Below are 25,453 nucleotides of genomic sequence, written 5' to 3' on the forward strand. Positions count from 1 at the left end.
TGATTTTGAAATTTCAGGTTTTATAACCTTCCTGGCTTTGAGAAGGCAGCATGAGATTTTTTGTCTTTGTTTTTGTTTTTTGAGACGGAGTCGCTCTGTTGACCAGGCTGGAGTGCAGTGACGCGATCTCGGCTGACTGAAAGCTCCGCCTCCCGAGTTCACGCCATTCTCCTGCTTCAGTCCCCTAAGTAGCTGGGACTACAGGCGCCTGCCACCATGCCTGGCTAATTTTTTGTATTTTTCGTAGAGACACGTTTCACCGTGTTAGCCAGGATGGCTCGATCTCCTGACCTCGTGATACGCCCACCTCGGCCTCCCAAAGTGTTGAGATTACAAGCGTGAGACACTGCATCCGTCTGTTGTAACAATTTAATTAAAGCAATATATCCAAAATATTATTTTAATATGTGAGCAATGTATAATTATGAATGAGATATATATTTATATATAACATAATTATGTATCTATATATTGCATTATGCTATGTATTTTTATCCATATTATATATAGATATTTTTATCTATATGTTGTATATTTTTATATTTATGGAACTAAATCTTTGAAACTAACTCTGCATTTTACCTTTCTTGCAAATTGCAGCTCAGACCAGCCACATTCCAGGCTCCCAGGAGTCACACATGGTCAATACCTGTCACATTGAAGTGCAGCTCTGTTGTCAGGTCTGTGAAAGGCCTGAATATCCCTTTTCTTCCTGTTAGGAATAACGCTCAAAATCATAAGGAAATTGAACACTCGAACAAAGGATTCCTAGCAAAGCAATTTTAGTTCTGCACAGAGGGGTGCGTTCTTGTCCAGTCACCATGAGAGCACACCTGAACAAAGGGGCACAAGAGCCTTTATTCCTGACACAAGTCCTGCCCCTGTACCCTTTCCCCATTGGCCAGGGTCGGGTCGTACAATCTGAACTAATCCTGGTTGGCTAAACATTTGATTTTTTTAGATAAGGTGGGCATGCAAAAGAATGCAGAGAGGAAGGGGAAGGGGTGTCTGCATTGAGCTAGAAAGTTAGTCCTCTTTCCAAATAAGGGAAGAAATGTGAGCTGGTACTGATAATGCCTGGTACTGTGGCGTGCCTGGGCATCTAACAAAGGCAGAAAGGAAAAAGGAGAAAAAGGAAAAAAAGGGGTGTGTGTGTGGGTACTATGAATTAAAGAATAAAAGATTGATCAGGCTATTTGAAGAGAAACCTCATCGTATCCCACATGCCCGACATGAGGGAACAGCCTCTTTCTACTAACATCTGTCTTCAGTTTCAAGGGTGGAACAGATAGTGGTCATAGAAAGAGCAGAAGGTAACAAGAATAAAATAACCACAGGTAGACCACTGAAGAATGATGGGGCCACAGGAGAACAAAACTCTATGTCTTCAGACCTGTCCACAGTATTGACCTCCAATTTTTAGATATGAAGAAAATAGATTAAAGGCAAACTTTGGCTATTTGGCCTTGGCCATAATGGTCAGGCTCTGGTCATCGGTTTTTTCCTGTGGTGTGGGGGACTGTGTGCATATAAGCACCAATCACATGCATACATGTCTACAAGTATTCCTGCATCAGTCAACATTGCCTTACAAGACATTTAACTTTAAATCGGGAAAAATGTCAGTACCTTTAGGGTGCCCATTGTTAGAAGGTGACTAATAATCAAACTGTCTTTAAATCTTGACACCCAATCTGCACTGGGTGCATGTATTAGTTAGGTATGGCAGCATAACAAATCATCCAAAACTTATTAGCTCATAATTGAGATGGTCCGCCATTTAGGCTAGGCTCAGTGGGGCCATTCTTCTGTTCCCAGCTGAGCTCCTTCAGACATGTATTGTCAGCTGTTTGTTGACTAGGCAGCTGTGCTTCTGGGAGTGAGCTTGTGCTTCAAGATCTGTCAACAGGGGCACCTTGCTACTCCTCCTCGTGGTATTTTATCCTCTAGGTGGCTAACATGGACTTTATTGATGGAGACAGCAGCATTCTGAAAGAAAAGCAGAAGCATTCAACACCATTTGAGCCCAGGCCCCAAACTAGCCCACTGTCATGTTCACAAGTATCTAGTGCCTTGAACAAATAAGGCCAGCCAGATCTAGGGTTGGGAAAACAGATTCTGTATCTCAATGGGAACAGCTGTAAGAGCACCTGCCAATAGGCATGGATAGGAGGGATGAAAAATTGCTACCATTTTTGCAATCAATATCATTATGCCTTTTTTGCATATGTGGTTTATACAACTCTTTCGCATCAAGAAACTTGTCCAAAGACTCACAGCTACTAAATGGCTGGCCTGAGACTCAGTACCAACTCTTCTGACTCTAAAGCCCATGCATCAAACTCTTGGCTGCTGTAGATCCTTGAAATCCTGGAGAGAGATGCTGCTACAGTAAAAGCCAGATTTTTAAAAAATGTATGCCCATATAGCACTATTTATGATTGGGAATAATCCTTTCAAGAAATTGCAGAAGCACAGGGTGCCTCACACCTGTAATCCTAGCATTTTGGGAGGCTGAGATGAAAGAATCACTTGAGTTCAGGAGTTTACGTGCAACCTGGGCAACATAGTAAGATCCTGTGTCCGTGAAAAAAAATTTAAAAATTGGCCAGTCATGATGTTGCATGTCTGTCGTCTCAGCTCTTCGGGTGGCTGAGGCAGGAGGATTGGTTGAGCCTGAAGTGTTAAGGTTGCTGTGAGACATGATTGGTTGCACCACTACACTCCACCCAGAGTGATACAGAGAGACACTGTCTCAAAAAAATTGCAGAAGCATTTGAATGGACATATAATAATTTTGAAAAATAGCTGAGGAATGAGTTTAGAAAAATCAAAGCCCAAGAACACATTATTTATTTTCATCATAGAAAAAAGAAAAAGAAACTTTAGAGAAATTAAATTTATCAGAGTTTAATTGAGAAAAGAATGATTTGCAAATTGGGTAGCCTGTGTAGGCTCAGAGAGTCTCCAGCATAGCCACATGGTGGTAAAAAATTTATGAACAGAAAAGGCAAATTGACATGCGGAAAATGGAAGCCAGGTACCGAAACAGTCAGATTGATTACAGCTTGGGAGTTGCCTTATGGTTTGAACAGTTGACGTCATTTTACTGGCCAAAACACATTGATTGGTACAAGAATGGGTACAGTCTATTTACATATCCAGGTAGGTTTCAGTTTAGTATTTTAAATAAAAACGACCAAAATTAAACGTGAAAGGGGGCAGCTTTATGGTGTAATTAATTTAATAATTTGTCCTTTTGGTCATCTTAATTTTGAGAGATAGACCAAAACTTTAGACATTGGCCGGGCGTGATGGCTCATGGCTGTTATCCTAGCATTTTGGAAGGCCGAGGTGGGTGGATCACTTGAGGTCAGGAGTTTGAGACCAGCTTGACCAACATGGTGAAACCCCGTCTCTATTAAAAATACAAACCAATTAGCCAGGCCTGTTGGTGAGTGCCTGTAATCCCAGCTACTCAGGAGACTGAGGCAGGAGAATTTCTTGAACCCGGGAGGAAGAGGTTGCAGTGGGCTGAGATCGCGACACTGCACTCCAGCATGGGCAACAGAGCGAGACTCCATCTAAAAAAAAAAAAAAAACTTGGATATTGATATTACTCTCTCACTATAAAAGAAGTACTTATTTAGTCTGAAATCCCACTGTGAAATAGCATAACTGTGGATTTTTTAAAGTAGAAACAAGGACTTCAGGTTATTATTATTTTATTATTATTATTTATTTTTAAAAGAGTAGAGGGAAACTCCTTGTGTTGAAATGTGCTGTTTACCAAAACAAACAGACAAACAAACCTCATCTGTTTTAGGATGTACCTATTTTCTTTTTTCTTTCTTTTTGTTTTTGAGATTGAGTTTCACTATTGTTGCCCAGGCTGGAGTGCAATGGCGCCATCTCAGCTCACTGCAACCTCCACCTCCCGAGTTCAAGCAATCCTCCTGTCTCAGCCTCCCAAGTAGCTGGGATTACAGGCATGTGCCACCACGCCCGCCTAATTTTGTATTTTTAGTAGAGATGGGGTTTCACTATGTTGGTCAGGTTGGTCTTGAACTCCAGGCGTCAGGTGATCCACCCACCTCAGCCTCCCAAAGTGCTGGGATTACAGGCATGAGCCACTGTGCCCAGCCCTACCTATTTTCTGAAATTTTCAATTTGATTATGTCACATTTAGCATGAGTGACTTACTTTTTTTGTTTTGTTTTTCTGTTTGAACCTAGTGCAGAAGTTAAGAATGATGGCCTCCGATAAATTTGTTTAAAAAATTCTCCCATTTTGGCAAAGTTCTCACATAGATCAGAGTGTAAAAAACTCACGATCTTAGTGCCACTGTCAATTTCCATTATTTTTGGGTTTTGTCCATATTATGTCATTCATAGGTTATGGTGTCTCCATAGTCACATATGTCTCAATTGTTGTCATTCTAGTTAAAGAGAGACCATTTGTCATTCTAGAGATGACTCATGCATGATAACATTTAAAACTTTTGAGCTGAGGTGGAAGGATTACTTGAGCCCGGGGGTGGAGGTTGCAGTGAGCTGAGATCACACCCCTGCATTCTAGCCTGGCTGACAGAGTGAGACCCTGTCTCTAAAATGCAATGCAACGCAACGCAACGCAACGCAACGCAACGCAATGCAATGCATAAAATAGCCTCAACCATGTTCCAACAATTACTTTCTTTTTTCTTCTCCAACAATAACCATAACCTTTTTTTTTTTTTTTTGAGACAGAGTCTTGCTCTGTCACCCAGGCTGGAGTGCAGTGGCGCAATGTCGACTCACTGCAACCTCCACCTCCCAGGTTTAAGAAATTCTCTGCCTCACCCTCCCAAATAGCTGGGATTACAGGCACGTGCCACCTCGCCCATCTAATTTTTTTGTATTTTTAGTAGAGATGAGGTTTCATCATCTGGGCCAGGCTGGTCTTGTACTCCTGACCTTGTGATCCTCTTGCCTCAGCCTCCCAAAGTGGTAGGATTACAGGCGTGAGCCATTGCACCTAGACAATAACCATAATCTTAAGAGTTAACATTGTAGATCAATTTTGTGTTTTTATTCAAGTGTTTTGTTACAAAAAATTAAACATATGCAAAACAACAACAACAAAAATAATTTAATAGACCTATCATGAAGCTTCAACAACTACTAATCTTGTGCCATTCTGGTTTCACCTATTCTTCTCTACTTCGGTCATCCCTGGCCAACCCATTGTCCACCCTTCATTATTTTCTTCAGTTTTGTTTTTTGTGACGTCATATGTACATACATTGGAAGGCACAAATCCTAACTGAAGATTTTTGACAAATAAATACACCCATATGACCTTCATATCTTTTAAGAATAAATAGAATGTTTCCCTTCTCTATTAATAGAATTTATAATAAAATGATAGAATATTCTTATTATTCTCAGATAATTCCCTCCTGCTTTTTTCAGACAATTTTAATCTCTACCGAGGCTACTTGGTATTTTTTTTTTTTACCATTAGTTCATTTTTCCAGACATTATACAATTTGTATTATTTTATTTCAAGCTTGTCTCAGCAGGTTTATGAGATTCATCCAAGGTGTGTGCTTCAGTTTGTTTCTTTCTATGGCTGAGTAGCCTTCTCTTGTATGAATGAGCTATGATTTGTTTATTCATCTTCCTAGACATGGACATTTGGGTTGTTTTCTGCTTTAAGCTATTATGACTAAAAGGTCTATAAACATTCTGGTACAAATACTTTTTCATATATAATTTAATTTCTTTACTAGCATTTAAATGACAACTCTTTACATTTTTTAGTGGTTTCTTTAGGGATAACCATATGCATCTTTAACATATCACAATCTACCTAGAGTTAATACTGTACAATTGTAATAAATGTAAAATATGAAGACCTTGCTATGGATGAGCTTTACTTACCTCCTTTTATTTTTATGCTATTCATAAATTTTACATCTACACATTCTATATCTCACAATACTTACAATTTCTCCTTTAGTCATAAGTCTTATAAAGAAATTAAGAGAAAATGGTATTATAAATATTTGGAGGCAGATATTTTGGGCTATGTAAATACACTGTTTCTCCTTTAAATTTTACCCACAATTTGTGCATTCTTTAATACATCTTTATCTACAGTAATTATTACTGTGGTGTCCTGGTAGTGATTTCCTATTTTGCATTATCTATCTACATTGATTAGTACTTAGAATTCTGTTAAGAAGATTTGCTTTGGCCGGGCGCGGTGGCTCACGCCTGTAATCCCAGCACTTTGGGAGGCCGAGGCGGGTGGATCATGAGGTCAGGAGATCGAGACCACCCTGGCTAACAAGGTGAAACCCCGTCTCTACTAAAAATACAAAAAATTAGCCGGGCGCGGTGGCGGGCGCCTGTAGTCCCAGCTACTCGGGAGGCTGAGGCAGGAGAATGGCGTGAACCCGGGAAGCGGAGCTTGCAGTGAGCCGAGATTGCGCCACTGCAGTCCGCAGTCCGACCTGGGCGACAGAGCGAGACTCCGTCTCAAAAAAAAAAAAAAAAAAAAAAAAAAGATTTGCTTTTTCTCTTTCTTCTTTCCTTTTTTCTTATTATATTTTGTCTATATCTGCATGGACTCATGTATAGCTCTTTTATTCTCTAGGTTATAATCCAAGGGTATTATTATTTTGTTTCTCACATTGTTTCAGCTTGGGCTGCTGGAAACTCTTTCAGGTTCACTTCCTCTGACATGTCTCTTTCTGTTGTTCATAAAGCACTTTTTAACTTTCTAGCTTTACAAAATACTCTACCTTAAGTTTGATTTTTCACTCCAGTCCCAGAATTATCTATTTGTCCAAGTAGTGTTGCTTCCTTCTATTGAAGAATAGTACTTAGGAACCATAATATGAGAGCTAGGTATTCTTATTAATACTGGGGTGTTACTGCTTCTGAAAGCTCTCAGCAGACAGAGTTTGGAAATGTACATATTAATATACACTCACATATAAAAACATCTCTTCCTTTCTCTTTCTCTGTGTCTCCCTCTCTCTGAATGAATAAATTATGAGACCTGCATTTATCCAAATATTCCTGGCTAGGGATGGTGGCTCATGCCTGTAAACCCAGGATGTTTAGCTCAGAATGATTCATCCTGACCCTCACAGCAGACCAGTCAGGTGGAAAAGGGTACAGGGAATTATGGTCCTTATTACTTGTTTTTTGTTTTGTTTTGTTTTGTTTTGTTTTTGAGACAGAGTCTCACTCTGTTACTCAGGCTGGAGTGCAATGGCGCAATCTCATCTCACCACAACCTCCGCTGCCCAGGTGCAAGCGATTCTCCTGCCTCAGCCTCCTGAGTAGCTGGGACTATAGGAGCACACCACCACGTCTGGCTAATTTTTATATTTTTAGTACAGATGGGGTTTTGCCGTGTTGGCCAGGCTGGTCTCAAATTCCTGACTTCAGGTGATCCACCCATCTCGGCCTCCCAAACTGCTAGGATTACAGGCATGATCCACCATACCCGGCCAGTCTTTATTACTTTTATTGTCTGATTGTTTATTGCTAGTTTAGTTTAAAAAGTTGACTTTTGTTTATTGAAGCTGTATGTAATGAACTTGGTAAATTCACTTGCAAATTCTTACAGATTTGCTACACAAGATAATCATTATGTGCAAATGACCGTTTTATTTTTTCCTATTAAATTTTTTTTTTCCTTACCTTATTGCACTGGCTAGGATCTCCAATGAAATATAATAGAATCAATAATAGCAGGCATCCTTGTCTTTTTCCTGATCTAGGAGGGGAAACTTTTAGTAGTTTACCATTGAGAATCATAATAACTGGCCAGGCACAGTGGCTCATGGCTGTAATCCCAGCAATTTGGGAGTCCGAGGTGGATGGATCACTTGAGGCCAGGAGTTTGAGACCAGCGTGGCCAACATGGTGAAACCCCATCTCCACTAAAAATACAAAAATTAGTAATGCACGCCTGTAATCCCAACTACTTTGGAGTCTGAAGCAGGAGAATCACTTAAACCTGGGAGGTGGAGGTTGCTGTGAGCCGGGGTCACGCTGCTGCACTCCAGCCTGGGCAACAGAGCAAGACTCTGCCAAAAAAAAAAAAAAAAAAAAAAAAAAAAAGAATTCTGATGCTTACTATAGATTGTTGAAAAGTAGGTACCTTTTATTAAATTAGGTAAGTTTTCTTTCATTCTAGATTGCTGCTTTTTAGAAAATTATGAATTGGTGTTCAATTTTTTCTTTTTTTGAGATGGAGTCCTGTTCTGTCGCCCAGGCTGGAGTTCAGTGGTGCAATCTCGGCTTACTGCAGCCTCTGCCTCCCGGGTTGTTCTCCTGCCTCAGCCTCCCAAGTAGCTGGGATTACAGGTGCTGCCACCACGCCCAGCTAATTTTTTTTTTGTATTTTTAGTAGGGATGGAGTTTCACCATGTTGGCTAGGCTGGTCTTGAACTCCTGACCTTGTGATCTGGCTGCCTCAGCCTCCCAAAGTGCTAGGATTACAGGTGTAAGCCACCGCGCCAGGCCAGTGTTCAATTTTTTTTTTTTTTTTTTTTTTAGATGGAGTTTCGCTCTTGTTACCCAGGCTGGAGTGCAATGGCATGATATCAGCTCACCGCAACCTCCGCCTCCCAAGTTTAAGGGATTCTCCTGCCTCAGCCTCCCATGGTGTTCAATTTTTAAAAATGCTTTTCCTACATCTGTTAAGATAATCTTGTAGATTTTTCTACTTATTCTGTTAATGAAATAATTTCATGAGCGGTTCTCAACCGAGGGTAATTTTTCTCCCTAGAGAGCATTTGGCAATGTCTGGAGACATTTGTGATTGGCTCAATTGGGTGTGTGTCTGTGCTACTGGCATCTAGTGGGTAGAAGCCAGGGGTGGTGACAAACATTCTACAATGCACAGAATGTCTCCCCACAACAAAGAATATTCAACTAAAATTGTTAATAGTATTGAGGTGTGGAAATCCTAATTCACATTGCTTAATCTTTGAGTGTTAAACGGAACTTCATGAGAGAGACGGGCCTATAATTTTTCTTTCATGTAATGTCCTTGTAGTTTTGTCATTAAGGATTCTTTTGGTCTCATAAAATGAATTAGAACATGTTCTCTCTTTTTCAATTTTCTGGAAGAATTTGTGTAAGATAGATGCACTCTTTGCCTTCCTTTACAATCAGACCTGCCTCTGGTCACCTTTTCAACTCCAGAAGTCATTTATGTCCTTTGACCCTAAGATATTTGCTGAACCAAACGGGATTAGTATTTCTTAAAGATCAGAACTCACCTGAGCCTACTGGATTCTAGCAGGAATGGAGACAGGTAGAAAGACTCACTTTAGCCTCAGGCTTAAATATGTTTTTATTTATTTATTTATTTATTTTAATTTTTGAGACAGAGTCTCGCTCTGTCGCCCAGGCTGGAGTGCAGTGCCGTGATCTCGGCTCACTGAAACACCCACCTCCCCGGTTCAAGCCTCAGCCTCCCGAGTGGCTGGGACTACAGGCATGTGCCACCATGCCCAGCTAATTTTTTGTATTTTTAGTAGAGATGGGGTTTCACTCTGTTAGCCAGGATGGTCTCGATCTCCTGACCTTGTGATCTGACTGTCTCAGCCTTCCAAAGCACTGGGATTACAAGCATGAGCCACCGCATCCAGCAGTATGTTTTTATTTTTTATTTTCTTGAGAAAGAGTCCCACTCTGTCACCCAGGCTGGAGTGCAGTGGTGTAATTTTGGCTCACTGTAACCTCCACCTCTTGGATTCAAGTGATTCTCCTGCCTCAGCCTCCCAAGTAGCTAAGATTACAGGTGTGTGCCAGCACACTCCACTAATTTTTATATTTTTAGTAGAGATGGTGCTTTGCCATTTTGGCCAGGCTGGTCTTGAACTTCTGACCTCAGGTGATCCACCCACCTCGGCCTCCCAAAGTGCTGGGATTACAGGCATGAGCCACCGCGCTCGACCAGGCCTAAGTTTTATACTCTACCTCAGACTTTTATCATTTTGGCAGTTATTGGACACTAAGTCAAATACTAACAAAGTGAGCCAGTGATTCGCATTTAGCTATTGTTCCTTGTCTATAGCACCTTGGGTAGGAACCCTATGGGAAGATCAAGGCAGGATAAAGCCTTCCTTGGGATGCTGGCCATAACACTATCACAGCAGCGATGAAATCTTACCTTCTACCACTCCCATCCACTGTGTCTTCTGTTGTTAACTAAACATTCAGCTCCTTTCTTGGGGTGGAATGCCTTTTAGTTTATTCTACACCTTGACTGTCACAGGGGGTCAGTAATAGGGGAGAACACAAGTTTCTGGTTAGATAAATCTGGGTCGAATTCTACTTTTGCCACTATTAGTAGAGTTACCCCTAACAAAACATTTAGCTTTTCCAGTGAAGCCTCTGTTTACTCATCTGTGGAGTGGGACTTATAATGTCTACTTGTGTGGGTTAAGAAGACAAGAATTCATTAACCTATTTCCCACTTGCCCTGAGAACACTCATGTTTCTAATCCTAATGTGACATCATATACATTTCTGTTACATTAGGACTAGAGACAAGTTTTGTTTAGAAATAACTTCACAAACAGTTTTTATATTTTATTTTCAAGATAAAAATCATTCAGATTTGCTTCAGCTTCAAGGAGGATGTTTATGTAAAATTAAATGAGCACTGGCAACCAGCTGCACCTTTTCTTCTAAACGGGAAATGGGTTAAGTGGTTTAGATGGCTCTCAGCCTCAAAGGGCTGAAGACAGAAACTCTAGGCTCAATTTCCAGAAATGGCTCTCAACACCACATAGAGCTGGTCCATCAGAGGAGCTCCTGCTTCATCCAAAGGCAGGAAGCACTAAATCAGAAGATTGCCTTAGAGTTAGGAAGTCAATGCTGGACTCAAGCCCACAAAATGTCCTCGTCCTGCCTATCTCTTTGCTCGATTCAAAATCCCATTCATGTGGAGCTAATTGGAGAAATCAAAATCACATTTTTTTTTTTTTGAGATAAAACAGACAAAAATTTCTGCTCTTGAGAAATGTATATTTTAAGATGAGACTTGTTAAAAGAGACCTCTGTCTTATTTTGTATGTATGTAGAGCCATGGAAGTCTAGAGCTTTGATGTATGATGAATATGTGTTTCAATCTTCTCTGTTCTATAATCTTGGGCAGCTATTTTAACTTCTTTGAGCCTCAGCTTTCTCAATCCTAAAGTGAAGATACAAATTCCTATCTTATCCTCAATCAGTTAAATGTAGAATTAACTATATGATCCTGCAAGTTCATCCTTAGGTTACATACCCAGGGAAAATGAAAGCATACATCCACACAAAAACTTGTATGTGAGTGTTCATAGCTGCAGTATTCATAATGGCCAAAAGTAGAAACAAGTCAAATGTCTGTCAATTAATGAATAATTAAGCAAAATGTGGTATATCCATACAATGGAATATTATTCAGCAATAAAAAGGAATGAAGTACCAACACATGTTAAGACATGGATGTACCTTTCACGTAGCATATTATGTGAAAGCCAGACACAAAAGGTCACATTTTCTATGTTTTCATTTATATAAAATGTTTAGAATGTGCAAATCCACACTCAGAAGTTAGATTAGTGATTGCCTAGGACTGGAAGCCAGGGAGTAATTAGGGTGTCATGGTTAAGGGGCGTAGAATTTCTTCTGAGGGTAATAAAACTGTTCTAAGATAGATTCGATTTTAGTAGTGATAGATGAACAACTCTGTGAATTTACTGAAAGCCATTAAATTGTACACTTTAAATGAGTGATTTTTCTAGTATGCAAATTATATTTCAAAAAAGTTGTAAGAAGAAAAAGTTCTACCATGTAGGGTTCTTTGAAGATTAAATAAGCTAGGAATACAATATACCTAGTGTACCTAGTATACATAGTGCCTGGCATTTGGTAGGTGTTCAAAATATGCTAACATTTATTCTGTTGGTAATCCTTAACAGGCTGGTTTATACAAAAGCTTACAATTATGTTCATTGTTAACATAATACTGATGTATCCTTTCGTAATCAATGTGTGCCTTGAGCAGATAGCCCTTCTTTACCCTCAGTTCCAGCCCTTTCTTTGCTTCTTGAAATTTTACGTGTATCACAACCCAGCTCAGATGTCACCTTTTCAAAGCCTCCTTGTTGGTTCAGCTAAAAATCCTGGGCTTTCTGTATAGCATCCCCAACAAGGGGCATTCAGAGGCAAGCTCTGGTCACCATCTGGCTTGTTTCCAAATTATTTGTGAATGCACCACCTGTCCCTGTGTCCTGCCCTCTGTTTCTGGCATGGTGGCACCTGGCACAGAGGGAGTGATCCTGTAAGGAATGTGTTCACAGCACATGTGCTCTGAGTCCCTTGGCACAGCACCTATGGTGGGCAGAATTCTGAGATGATTCTCCTGACCTCTGCCCCCTGGTGTTAATGCTATAATTATGTGACATGGCAAGAGAAATTTTGTGGATGTCATTAAAGTTAGTAATCAGCAGACCTTATGCTAGGGAGATGGGTGGGCCTAACCTAATCACAGAAGCCCTTTGAAAGCAGAGTCTTCTTTGGCTAGAAAAGGCCATCAGAGGTTCATAGTGGGAGACAGATTTGACTTGAGGCTGGTTTTCAGTTACTGAGTTGGAGGGGTCCCTGAGACAGAACTGAGAACAGTCTCTAGGAGCAGAGAGCAGCACCTTGGCTGGCAGCTATAAAGAAGGACCTGGGTCCGGGCGCAGTGGCCCATGCCTGTAATCCCAGCACTTGGGAGGCCAAGGCAGGTGGATCACCTGAGGTCAGGAGTTTGAGACTAGCCTGGCCAACATGGTGAAACCCCGTCTCTACTAAAAATACAAAAATTAGCCAGGCATGGTGGCAGGTGCCTGTAATCCCAGCTACTCGGGAGACTGAGGTAGAAAAATCGCTTGAACCTGGAGGTGGAGGTTGCAGTGAGCTGAGATTGGGCCACTGCACTCCAACCTGGGCAAGAGAGCAAGACTCCATCGCAAAAAAAACAAAAAAAAGAAAGACCTGGTTACTACAATTGCAAGGACCTGAATTCTGCCAATGACCTGAATGAGCTTGGAAGTGGATTCTCCCCAAGAGCCTTCAGAGAAGGGCCCAGCCCAGCCAACACCTTGACTTTGGCCTTGTGGGACCCTAAGCAGGGAGCCCGGTTAAACCCACCTGGACTTCTGACTTATAGAACTATGAGGAAGTCAATAGGGATTATTATAAACTGCTACATTTGTCATAGTTTGTTGTGCTACAGTAGAATACAAATATATCCCTCATCTCTGGAGAGCAGTTTTATTCCTATTTTACAAGTGAGGAGACCCAGAGGGGTGAAGTCACTTGCCCAAGATTGCACTGCACATGAATGACAGGGCTGAGCTACAGCCTAGGGCAGGAGTCAACAAATATTTTCTTTTCTTTTTTTTTTTTTTTGAGATGAAGTCTCGCTCTTGTCCCCCAGGCTGCAATGCAATGGTGCAATCTCGGCTCACTGCAACCTCCACCTCCCAGGTTCAATAGATTCTCCTGCCTGAGCCTCCCGAGTAGCTGGGATTACAGGTGACCGCCACCATGCCTGGCTAATTTTTGTATTTTTAGTAGAGACTGGGTTTCACCATGTTGGCCAGGCTGGTCTCGAACTCCTGACCTCAGGTGATCCGCCCGTCTCAGCCTCCCAAAGTGCTGGGATTACAGGTGTGAGCCACCGCACCCGGCCCAAACATTTTCTATAAAGTTAAATATCTTAGGCTTTGTAGGCCTAAAATATTTACAATTTGGATCTTTACAGAAAATGTTTGCTGACTCTTTTAGGATCTTGAATCTGAGAATCTTGTTTCTATTGGTGTTAAGGATGTGCTCAGGTATCTTTCTATAAAGATACTCCTGCTACAGAGCTTGCTGGGCCTTGGCTGCTCAATGCAGGCCTTGAGACATCCCTGTGGAAATGTATCATGTTCCTAGGCAGGGAACAGAGCAACCCACCATCACATCGCCCATGCTGGCCATGACATGGTGGCCTACTGTGTGCTGTTTGGAGATGGTATGGGGGTGGGGACAGGACATGACATGTGCTTACCTGCCCTCCAGATGCTGTACACAGGGGAGCCAGATATATAAGCAAATAATTAGCATGCATGGGCTATGGAAAGGTGCTCACGATGGATCACGTTCAATAAAAAACTATATGCAATGCATGCCCAGAGTTTTGTAAAATACACGTTAGGAAAAAGTTATATCAAAAATGTCACAGTGATGGGTGGTCTCTGCGTGGTAATGAGTCTTAAGTCACTGGAAAAGAACATTGGACCCCTGTCCTGGAGGAGGGAGAAAGGAGGTTCTTCCAAGAAGATCGTGGATTCTCCCATTGCTTCTCTCCTACTTACAGATTTAAAAAAAAATAGCTAATATCACTAAGCACTTACTATAAGCCAAGCACTGTCGCCAAGCATATTATATAATAACTCATTTAACCCTCATGCCATCTCTACCAGACCTATCTGATTCCAGTGCTTAGTACTTGTTTCTCCAAGTGTGGCTGCATTTAGGGGAATGTTTTTCCTTCTTTGTAGGGTTCGAAACTGTTCTTTATCTGTTAAGGGAGATATTCTGATTTCTTTTAACTGACTGATATTTTCTAATTTTTCTGCAGTTTCCAGCGTTTTTTTTTTTTGAAATGGAGTCTCACTCTGTTGCCCAGGCTGGAGTGCAGTGGGACCATCTCAGCTTACTGCAACCTCTGCCTCGCGGGTTGAAGCAATTCTCCTGCCTCAGCCTCCTGAGTAGCTGGGACTACAGGTGCATGCCACCAAGCCCAGCTAATTTTTGTATTTTTAGTAGAGATGAGGTTTCACCATGTTGGCCAGGATGGTCTCGATTTCCTGACCTCGTGATCCACCTGCCTCGGGTTCCTAAAGTGCTGGGATTACAGGCCTGAGCCACTGTGCCCGGCCTAGCTATCTTTTTTCCACTGGAAAAAAGAAGGAAGGCTTGCAGGTTTATTTTTGTCAGCATGTCGAGGGATATGATGTATGGACCTGGAAAGTCCTGTGAAAGCCTAGAAGAGAGACTGGTTCATACCACTTTAGGAAACTGAAGAGAAGTCACCCACAGAAGGTGACCTGAATTTTAAAGGAAGTGCATGAGTTCACCAGATGAAAGAACTTTTGTAGCCAAGGTGTGACATTAGACCCGGGACACAATAAACAGTGAATTTAGGTGCAGGAAGTGAGACTAGGAGGTGGCCAGGGACCTCATCACAAGGTTGTGGATGCTTAGGAACTGGGATTATTCCGAGGGCAATGAGGAGCCACTGAAAGGCACAGCCAGGGCTGGGCGCGGTGGCTCATGCCTGTAATCCCAGCAATTTGGGAGGCTGAAATGGGCGGATCTCCTGAGATCAGGAGTTTGAGACCAGCCTGGCCAACATGGCGAAAACCTGTCTCTACTAAAAATACAAAAAAATTAGCCAGGCATGGTGGTGGTGGCCTGTAATACCAGCTACTCGGGAGGCTGAGGCAAGAGAACTGCTTGAACCCTGGAGTCGGAGGTTGCAGTGGGCCCAGACTGTGCCATTGCACTCCACTCTGGTCAACAGAGTGGGTCTCCATCTCGAAAAAAAAAAAAAAGGCACAGCCAGGTGAGGGACTGGTTGGGTGCTGTTTTGGTAGCTCAAGCTGGTGCTTCATGAAGGGCAGGCAGCCTGGGGACAGAGAGGCCAGTGAGAGGCAGGAGCAGCAGCCCAGGCTGTCACTGAGGAGGGAACAATGTGGCAAAAATGGAGAAGTGCATAGGAGTCTGGAAGGTCCAGACAGATGTGGGAACCCCACCTCCTCTCCCCACTCCCCACTCACTTATTAGCTGTGAAACCCAAGCAAGGCACTGCCCTCTGAGCCTTTATGACTTAGCCACTTTTCACTAAATGTGAAAAGTGCCTGACTGGTGACCAGTAATAAGTAGGTGAAGTGGTAGCTCCTTTCCCTGCCCTGTTGAGGCGGAAGCTGGTGACCAAGGGTTCCCTCTGAGTGACCCAGCTGGTGGCAGGGAAAATCTGAGGCTGCTTGTTCAGAGAGGGTTACCACTATGCCCGGGCAGCACGGCAGACTTGCTGCTGGGACCAGTTCTGGAGGTCAGAGACCTGGAGGGCTTGGTGTCTGACGGCTGAACAAACAAGCTGGTTGAGGCGAGGTTGCCGTGAGCCGAGATCGCGCCATTCACCCCAGCCTGGGCAACAAGAGCGAAACTCCGTCTCAAAAAAAAAAAAAAATGCCGGTTTTGTCAAAGCAGCAGGTGGCAAACACTGAGTCAAAAGACTTTCCCGGCCGGGCACAGTGGCTCACGCCTGTAATCCCAGCACTTTGAGAGGCCGAGGCGGGCGGATCACAAGGTCAAGAGATTGAGACCATCCTGGCCAACATGGTGAAACCCCGTCTCTATTAAAAGTATAAAAATTAGCTGGGCATGGTGGCGGGCGCCTGTAGTCCCAGCTACTTGGGAGGCTGAGGCAGGAGAATCGCTTGAACCCGGGAGGCGGAGGTTGTAGTGAGCCGAGATCACGCCATTACACTCCAGCCTGGGCGACAGAGCGAGACTCCGTCTCAAAAAAAAAAAAAAAAAAAAAAAAAAGACTTTCCCCTCTTTGGGCCTCAGTTTCCCTTTCTGTAAAATGCAGGTGAAGAGGCATGAGCTCAGGATTCCTAAAGCCCTACGGGGCTGAGCAAGGACGGTGCTTTGCGTTTGCCTCCCTTCCCCCAGCCCGCCCGAGAGGGTTTGCTGGGGCAGGGTGGCCCCTGGGACGGGTTCCAGACAGTTCTAGGCGCTCAGGTCCGCAGCTGTGCTACCCCCGCCGCCCGGGACGCCCGGTCCCCGCCAGGGCCCTCTCACTGTAGCTTTAAGGAGGGCTGGGGCCGGGTGCAGCGGCACCTGGAGTCTCGGTGGAACCCGGCAGCGGTGGGCGCGGACCCCGGAGAGGCTGCCCCGAGCCCGAGCACCCCCTGACCGGGCGCTCACCACGGGTGTTGGGACAAGCAGCGGAGCCTGCGGGCTGGAGCCAGGCTCGGACCCTCCGCGCCGGGGCGGGCGGCCGAGCGGACGCAGCTGGCAGTGGCGGCGGGAGAGCGCCCCGGATCCGCCCGGAGCCCAACCCCGTGGCACTTCGGCTGGCTGGGCAGCGGCGCTGGGGACAACGCGGGGCCTTCTGCAACGAGCGCCTGCGTGGGACTCCAGGGGCCGGCGCCCCGCTCCGCTCCCCCCAGGCCTCAACCCCGCTGGCTACCCGCGCTGAAACCTCACCTGCCGCCGGCTGCAAACGGACTGCGCTCCAGGTGGGTGGAAACGTCCTTCTCCTACTTTCTGGGCTCACTCGGCTCCCTGTGACGCGATCCCGCTTGCACCCTTGCCCTTCACGTTGACCGCAGTGGCTGGTGGGCAGTGGGGGACACCCTGGGCTCCGCCTGGGTTTTCTCTTGCTGGTGACTTGGGCCCTGGCGCTCAGTGTCCCTGGTCGTTAGACAAGGGTGCCTTGAGCCACTTGTTGTTCAGGCGGTTTCTTCTTTACAGAAAGTGGCCCCCCACACGCCCTTCCTGGTGGCAGGAGCAGGGCAGTGGGCAGCGTTTCTGCCCTGCTCCATGGGGCTGGGGTTGGAGGCGGCTCTCCCATTCCTGCTGTCCGGACAGGAGCGGGGCCTTTCTATCCGCAGACTTTTGCTGAAGACACTGTCCCCCGCCCCCGCCCCTACGCCAGCGGCAGAGAAGAGATCCAGGCTGGCCCCGCTCCTGGTTGGTGGGCAGGGCAAGCTGGAGGGGGGGGCAGGTACTAAGTGTTGCTGTGGAAATAAAAATCATTGTAACAGGAGAATAAATGGTTTTCGTATATTTTAATTCTATCAAAAGGATATTCTTCTGCCCATTTGACAGAGGAAGGCACCACGTGGAGAAGCTTCATAACATGAGGGCCAGGGCCCATCCTCTGTCCATCCCTGGGTAACCTGCTTCCCTTACAGCTCGCTGTCTCACGCTCTCATCTTCATAACCTGCATCCCCTGGAGCAGAGATTCGAGCTCAGAGGTGTTGAGCAGCCTCTGCAAGGTCCCAGAGTTCAGAGGAGGAAGGACCACCATAGTGACAGGGAGTGACAGGTGGAGCCATCTGGTCAGGGAGCACCCTCCCCTGGCTGGAGGGAGGTGGGGACAGCCGCAGACAGGCTTCAGGGAAGGGGTGAAATGAGGGCCCTGGATGGGAGCAGAGGGTTCCCTGGAATGGGGCACAGGCCTAGTAGAGGCTTCCAGGTGATAGGAGTTTGGGGGGAGGGCATTTGAGGGAGGCAGGGCCACCCTCCGAGGCCCTGCATGAGTGCTAGGGTTGGGGGTGGGACTTCTCAGGGACAGGGGAGTTCCTGGCTTGCCCTGGGGTGGGCTTATGCATTCCAGGGCAGGTAACTCTTCTTTTCCTAGCAGGGTACAGGTTCTGGAGGTACACAGTGTAAGGGACCAGTAACCTGCTTCACCAATTCTCTGATATGGCTCAAGGAAATTCTTGGGGTGGGACACCCTGCTGACAGTTACTGCAAAAATAGTCACGGCAAAACAAAACAGGCTGTCCTTCATCCAGTAGACACTGACCCTCTCCACGTGCCCCTAATCCCCCAGATGGCAGGTTAGCACGTGCCCTGCCTGCCATGGGGGAGCCACATGGAAGGAGGGAGACCCACATAGAAGGAGATGACCATGATGCCACGTGAGACCATGCAAAGGACAATTGCAGGGGCTGGTCCAAGGTGTGGGAGAGGTTAAGCCAGTAAGGCAGGCAGTGCATTCCAGAGTGAGAGCTGCCTATGCCAAAGACTTAACACCTGCACCCATTCACAGCATGGCCTCAACTTTATGTATTAAAAGATAGTGGCTGGGCGTGGTAGCTCACGCCTATAATTCCAGCACTTTCAGAGGCCAGGTTGGGCAGATCATGAGGTCAAGAGATCGAGACCATTCTGGACAACATGGTGTGTTGGGAGCAAGCCCCCCAAAGTCTGGCCATAAACTGGTCCCCAAACTGGCCATAAACAAAATCTCTGCAGCACTATAACATGTCCATAATAGCCCTAACGCCCAAGCTGGAAGGTTGTAGGTTTACAGGAATGAGGGCAAGGAACACCTGGCCCGCCCAGGGTGGAAAACCACTTAAAGGCATTCTTAAGCCACAAACAAAAGCCTGAGAGATCTGTGTCTTAAGGGCATGTTCCTGCTGCAGTTAACTAGCCCAACCTATTCAATTAATTTGGCCCATCCCTTCGTTTCACATAAGGGATACTTTTAGTTAATTTAACATCTATAGAAACAATGCTAATGACTGATTTGCTGTTAATAAATATGTGGGTAAATCTCTGTTCAGAGCTCTAAGCTCTGAAGGCTGTGAGACCCCTGATTTCCCACTTCACACCTCTGTATTTCTGTGTGTGTCTTTAATTCCTCTAGCGCCGCTACGTTAAGGTCTCCCGACCGAGCTGGTCTCGGCAATGGTGAAACCTCGTCTCTACTAAAAATACAAAAAATTAGCTGGGTGTGGTGGCACGTGCCTGTAGTCCCAGCCACATGGGAGGCTGAGGCAGGAGAATCGCTTGAACACGGGAGGCGGAGGTTACAGTGAGCTGAGATCACACCACTGCACTCCAGCCTGGCGACAGAGCGAGACTCCATCTTAAAAAAAAATAGTGATAAGCTGGGCACGGTGGTTTATGCCTGTGATCCCAGCACTTTGGGAGGCCGAGGTGGGTCGATCACTTGAAGTCAGGAGTTTGAGACCAGCCTGACCAACATGGTGAAACCCTGTCTGTACTAATAATACAAAATTAGCTGGACGTGGTGGTGCATGTCTGTAATCCCAGCTACTCGGGAGGCTGAGGCAGGAGAATTGCTTGAACCCGGGAGGTGGAGGTTGCAGTAAGCCAAGATCACGCCATTGCACTCCAGCCTGGGTGGCAAGAGCGAAACTCCGTCTCAACAACAAAAACAACAACAAAAATAGTGATAAACTTGGCTGTGCACACAGGCAGGGATTTGATTCAGACTAGAGCTGGGTCCAAATCCAGCAGCAACCTTGGACAAGGGGTCACCCTAGGAGTCCCAGTGTTCTTGGGACATAACACTATTGTGAGGAATAAGTGAAGAGATGTCTGTAAAGTGCTTAGCATGGTGCCCGGCCTCTAAGTGCCCAGCACACACCTGGTGCCACCATCGTCCTGTGTGGTGTGGAGAGAAAGGGAGAAATGCACAGGGCAAGGGAGAAATGGACAAGATACTTTATATGGAGATTATGCTCATCTGTGAGAAGCAAGATTTGTGGGGATTTGTATTTTTCATTCTCATTTTCCTGTGGCTTTCTCTTTTTCCCACAATGAGCAGCAGCTATTGTATCGATAGAAAGTAAAATGTGTTGTAAGTTGCCTTGTGCAGGTGTGCCCAGATGCGAGCTCCTCTAGTGCTGATAACCCTGCTGTACCCGGCTACAGGCAAGATTCTTCACCATTTGGGGTTCAGTCTCCTCATCTGTAACATGGGAATTTTCTCCAGCCCAGCCACCTTCCCCCAAAGTGTTTTTTCCTCTTTTTTTTTTTTTTTTTTTTTTTTTTGAGACAGAGTCTCCCTCTGTCAACTGGACTGGAGTGCAGTGGCACAATCTTGGCTCACTGCAAACTCCACCTCCCAGGTTTCAACAATGCTCCTGCCTCAGCCTCCAGAGTAGCTGGGATTAGAGGTGCGTGCCACCACACCCGGCTAATTTTTGTATTTTTGGTAGAGATGGGGTTTCACCATGTTGGCCAGGCTGGTCTCGAGCTCCTGACCTCAAGTGATCCACTGGCCTCGGCCTCCCAAAGTGCTGGGATTACAGGCGTGCGCCACTGCGCCTGGCCAAGTGTTTTCTCCTCCTAACAGCCTTTCCTGGCTGTCAACTTTGAGGAGTGGCAGGTAGTCAGGTTCTTTTTCTCTCTCCATGAAAATGCTTTGATCTGGAGACAGGAAGTACTTGCCCCCAGGACAGATTCACAGGAGGCGAACTGCAGGGAATTTACAAATGGCATTGTATGTGTCCAGTAGTCTAAGGGTTCAAAGATACTGGGGTCCATTCCCAGAGCACTCCTTTTACATGTATACATTCTCTCTCTCTCTCTCTCTCTCTCTCACACACACAGACACACACACATGCACACACACACATTTGTAAACATATTTGAAACTATACCCCTTTGAAATCTAAAGTTTCACCTCCTATATCTTAAAAATGTACCATGCCTTTCACCTCCCACAGGAATATGACTTTGCACCACTGTGTATTGTCGTTTGGCTGGGCAAGCCCCATTTTGAAGGGATTGCTGGTTCCTGACATCTTCCTTAGGGTTTATGCTCCTTTGCTTCCTGCTGCACCAACTCAGCCTCTGGAAGAGCAGACAGCTGGTGTATCTGCAAATCCTCCTCTCAGCCTGCCAGAGTGCCTGCCCTTTAAGTGATAGCAGGCCCAGGCAGTTGAGTGGTTTTCCCCAGGACAAGCTGCAGAGCGAGAACCAAATCCAGGACTGCACTCCCTCAACAGTGCTGTGGCAGCTGGAATCCTGCATTCTTGCCCCTTTCTCAGCTCTTTGCAATGGTGGGGGAGGATTTTCACCCAATGAGTATCTGCTCATCCAGCAGCACTTTCCCTCATTTCAGAAGATTTACTCAATGAACATTTATTGAGCAGCTATTATGTGCTAGGCACTGGGGGGATATAGTGGTGAACAAAGCCAGAATGGATCCAGCCCTCTGGGAGCTCACAGTCTGGGATAGTGGACAGGTGTAGCAGAAGTTAGGACAGGTGCATGCTGTGGTGAGGACAGCCCAGAGGACTTGGGTGTTAAAGTGAAAAGTGTCAGCAGAGAAGGCGTCTCAGATGAGGCTGAGCTGGCCCTTGAAGAGAGATAATGGGATAACCTGGACCTAGGTTTCAGCCTCTTAGCATGGTCTGGGGCCAGGTTTTTACCCAGGTTTATCCCCCCATCCATGGTTTTCTTTACTTAATTTAGATAACACTCTATATATTTCTTGGTATACTTAAGTTGAAAAAAAGTAACATATCGTAACTGTTTTCTCCTGTTATTAAACCTTTTTGCTGAGCTTGATTTTTTAAAAACTATTAATATTAGTTACTTCATCTAGAAGTTATGTCATATTTTACTTACCATTTCTTTATAATTGGACACTTGAGCATTTTTCAAATGATAACCCTTATAAACAAGGGCATGGTGAACATCTTTTTGCACAAAGTTTTGCTCCATGTTGTTAGTTTCAGTTTCAGACATTTGAATGCTCTGTTTCAATGTTCTGTTTGCCCTAGGTCCCAGTGTCTTCTTTGTCCAGTGGAGTTAACAGCGTGGATCTCATGGGATTGTGACCACGTGAAGTAAGGCAGAGCATAGCCAGCAAACCCTGATTCTGGCAGGCCTGGTCCACCCAACAAGTATTCATTCTCCTCCCTCTCAGCTTCCCATAAGGCATCAGGGTGGGCAATCATTATTATTATTATTGTTTGAGACAAAGTCTTGCTCTTGTCCCCCAGGCTGGTGTGCGATGGCGTGATCTCAGCTCACTGCAACCTTCGCCTCCTGGGTTCAAGCGATTCTCCTGCCTCAGTCTCCTGAGTAGCTGGGATTACAGGCATGTGCTAGCACGCCCGGCTAATTTTTGTATTTTTAGTAGAGATGGGGTTTCACCATGTTGGCCAGGCTGATCTCGAACTCCTGACCTCCGGTGATCCTCCCACCTTGGCCTCCCAAAGCGCTGGGATTACAGGTGTGAGCCACCACACCCGGCCGTGGGTGGGGAATCTTAATATGCAGCAGTAGATGAGGCTCCTGAGGACTGGGGAGAGGCCTAGAGTGTCACACTTAGTTCCTACCATGTCCCAGGCGCAGTGCTGATACCCATTATCTCTGACCTTCAAAATAGTGCTGCAAAGTCCGGGACACCATCTCCATTTTGCAGATGAAGAAACTGAGGCACAGAGGTGTCAAATGACCTCTCCAAGGTTGTAAAGTGACCTAGGGTAGAGAAATACTAACACCTAGGTCTCCAGTACCTTTCATGTGACCCATTTCGTCTTCTCTCTCCTGTGTCCAGATGTGTGATGGGGGCCTCTACTATTGCATGATGGTCAGCACCATGGTGGTTCTTGTGGCTGGGACACTGCTTGACTTGGTGGAGCCAAGGGGATGCACGTGCCCAGCCTGGCCAGCTGTCCCACCCACAGAACACCCTGTGCCTGGGGACCCCAGCCCCGGCTCCAGTGGGTCAGTTCCTTCTGTTGTGGCACAGGTGGCCTGCTGCTGCTCCTCAGTCTGCTGTGGTCTGGCAGGGCCAGCACCCAGGGGTCACCTGATGGGACCCACGCCACCTTTCCAGAGGCCTGCACCACCTCACAGTGGAATCCTCAGAGGAGAGCTGCAAGTCACTGGGGCAGGGTGGGCCAGTGGTTGGGGACCACAGGTGGGGGCTTAGTCACACCATTCAGCATTTGCTTAGTAAACTCTCATGGGGTTCCTTATCTGGGCCAGCCCTTGCCCTGTACTCTGGGGACATTCTAGAAGCCAAACAGTGCAGTCCTGAGGGAATTTAAAGCACCATGACAAAGGGAGACAATGACAAACTAGAAAAGTTGGAGCTGTTAGAGATAGGCAGACATGATCTTATGGTGACACGGAGAAACCCAGGAAGGCTTTCTAGAGGAGGGGGGCAGCTGAGCTCAGCATGCAGTTTGTATTGCGAGCATTATATGTAAACATCCAGCCACAGTTGGAATGCTGACTAATTTCTTAACCCAGCTTATAGCCAGTAGAAGACTCTCCTATCTGGACCCAGACAGTTGAAGAGATGTTGGTTCTCATACCTGGGTTCAGGGCCATAGGTATGATCATGGGTTAATACCAACATAGGGACTCAGAGAGAATTGTGACTCTCATGCATACCAGTTAAAGCCTCAGGCCAGTAAGCGTCCTAACAGGGCCTAGTACACAGATGAGACTGTAACACTCATATGCACCCCCATCCCACAATAAAGATTGTCATCCACACACATGAACACAACTCACTGTTGAGGTTCTGAATCTCACAGCTGGAGACAGTTGAAAGTTTGAACATTGACTCTTGTAAGTGGATCCGGTCCACCAGTGGGTTGGCGACTCTCAGACCAAGATTCAACACACCGTGAGGCTTTTACTCCACTGAGGAGACACTGTCTACAGGAAGAATTGAGGCTCTCAGTATAGATTGTCCACCATTGTGTCTCATGTACTTAGACCCAAAATACAGGTGTTGACTTTCATACCTAAAACAAGGACATGTTCAGTATTGTTAATCTCATCCCTGGGCCTTCCTGCAGGAGTGATTTTAACATCTGCCTCTGCTCAACACTTGGGTGATTTTATTCTCCTTCCTTAGCTCAGCCCACGGATGGGATTGTGACATATCTCTTGGCCACCATCCAGCTGATGTGACTCTTCTCTTTTTGCTAGGTTCTGCTCAAGAAGAGATTCTGACATATTGTTGGACCAAACACCAAGGTTATGTCACTTTTGTGCCTTGGCCCTGACCTCAGAAGGCATTGCGACATACTGTTGGGTTAATCACCAAGGTGATGTGGGACTTCTGCCTGGACCCTGCCCACACTGGGCATTGTGACATTTAGGGCCCATCAACTATCTGGCATGGCCCTCCTCTCTTATCTGACCGTTGCCTATAGGAGAGATTGTAACACATCTCTGGATTTAGAATGTAGATGATGTGACTCTTCTCTCCTGACTGGGCCATGGCCAGAGAAGGGAGAGTGACTTACCACTGGATCCAGCACACAGGTTATATGATTCTTCTTTGTGATCTCTGCACAAAGGGGTCATTGTGAGATATCTCAGGGTTTATCACCTAGATGATGTGATGCTCCTTTTCTTCCTGGAACCTGTCTACAGTGGGCATTGTGACATATCACTTGGCCCAGCACCTACATGTTGTGACTCTGATCTCATGCCTGGGCCCTGCCCACTGGGGTGATTGTGACATATAAGCTGGGCACAGCCATGAGGTTATATGACACTCCTCTTTTTTTGAGTTCTACTCACAGGGGGCATTGTGACATACCTCTGGGCTCCTTACCTAGGTGATGTGACTCTTTCCAGGGTCCTCCTGTCAGTGGGTATTGTGCCCAAGATGTAATTGTGATGCATCACTGGTCCTAGCACCTAACTGATGTGACTCTCCTCTCCTTCCAAAGCCCTGCATTTATTGTTTATTGTGACATATTTTCAAAACCTAGGTTAGGCAACTCTTTTGCATGCGTCCTGCTAATAGGGCTATTATGACATATTTTTTTTTCACCTAGGTGATGTGACTCTCCCTTTCTGCCTAAACACTGTAAAA

The 25,453-nt window shown here is 45.6% G+C and overlaps 2 long non-coding RNA genes across 15 annotated transcripts in view; one reads left to right on the forward strand and one right to left on the reverse strand.

Moving 5' to 3' along the window:
• Nucleotides 1-351: 351 nt before the first annotated feature.
• On the reverse strand, nucleotides 352-25,125 carry LOC101929007 (uncharacterized). 10 transcript variants are annotated; one of them, XR_002958421.2, is made up of 5 exons: nucleotides 24,876-25,125; nucleotides 24,133-24,368; nucleotides 22,228-23,085; nucleotides 17,313-18,061; nucleotides 352-1,989 (listed from the first exon to the last, which is right to left on the reverse strand). It is a non-coding gene; the product is annotated as an uncharacterized LOC101929007 (long non-coding RNA). The 10 variants fall into 10 exon arrangements; XR_007067177.1 differs by having other exon boundaries at nucleotides 24,133-24,279; nucleotides 24,876-25,099; XR_007067178.1 differs by lacking the exon at nucleotides 24,876-25,125 and adding an exon at nucleotides 24,369-24,439 and having other exon boundaries at nucleotides 24,133-24,279.
• Nucleotides 16,823-25,453, forward strand: part of LOC105372323 (uncharacterized) — a 41,604-nt gene continuing 32,973 nt past the window's right edge. For all 5 annotated transcript variants that reach the window (XR_001754056.2, XR_001754059.2, XR_001754057.2 and 2 more), the window contains exon 1: nucleotides 16,823-17,344. This is a non-coding gene — a long non-coding RNA (uncharacterized LOC105372323). The remainder of the gene's footprint in view (nucleotides 17,345-25,453) is intronic.

This window comes from Homo sapiens, chromosome 19 (genome assembly GCF_000001405.40).
Source record: "Homo sapiens chromosome 19, GRCh38.p14 Primary Assembly".
NCBI lineage: Eukaryota > Metazoa > Chordata > Mammalia > Primates > Hominidae > Homo > Homo sapiens.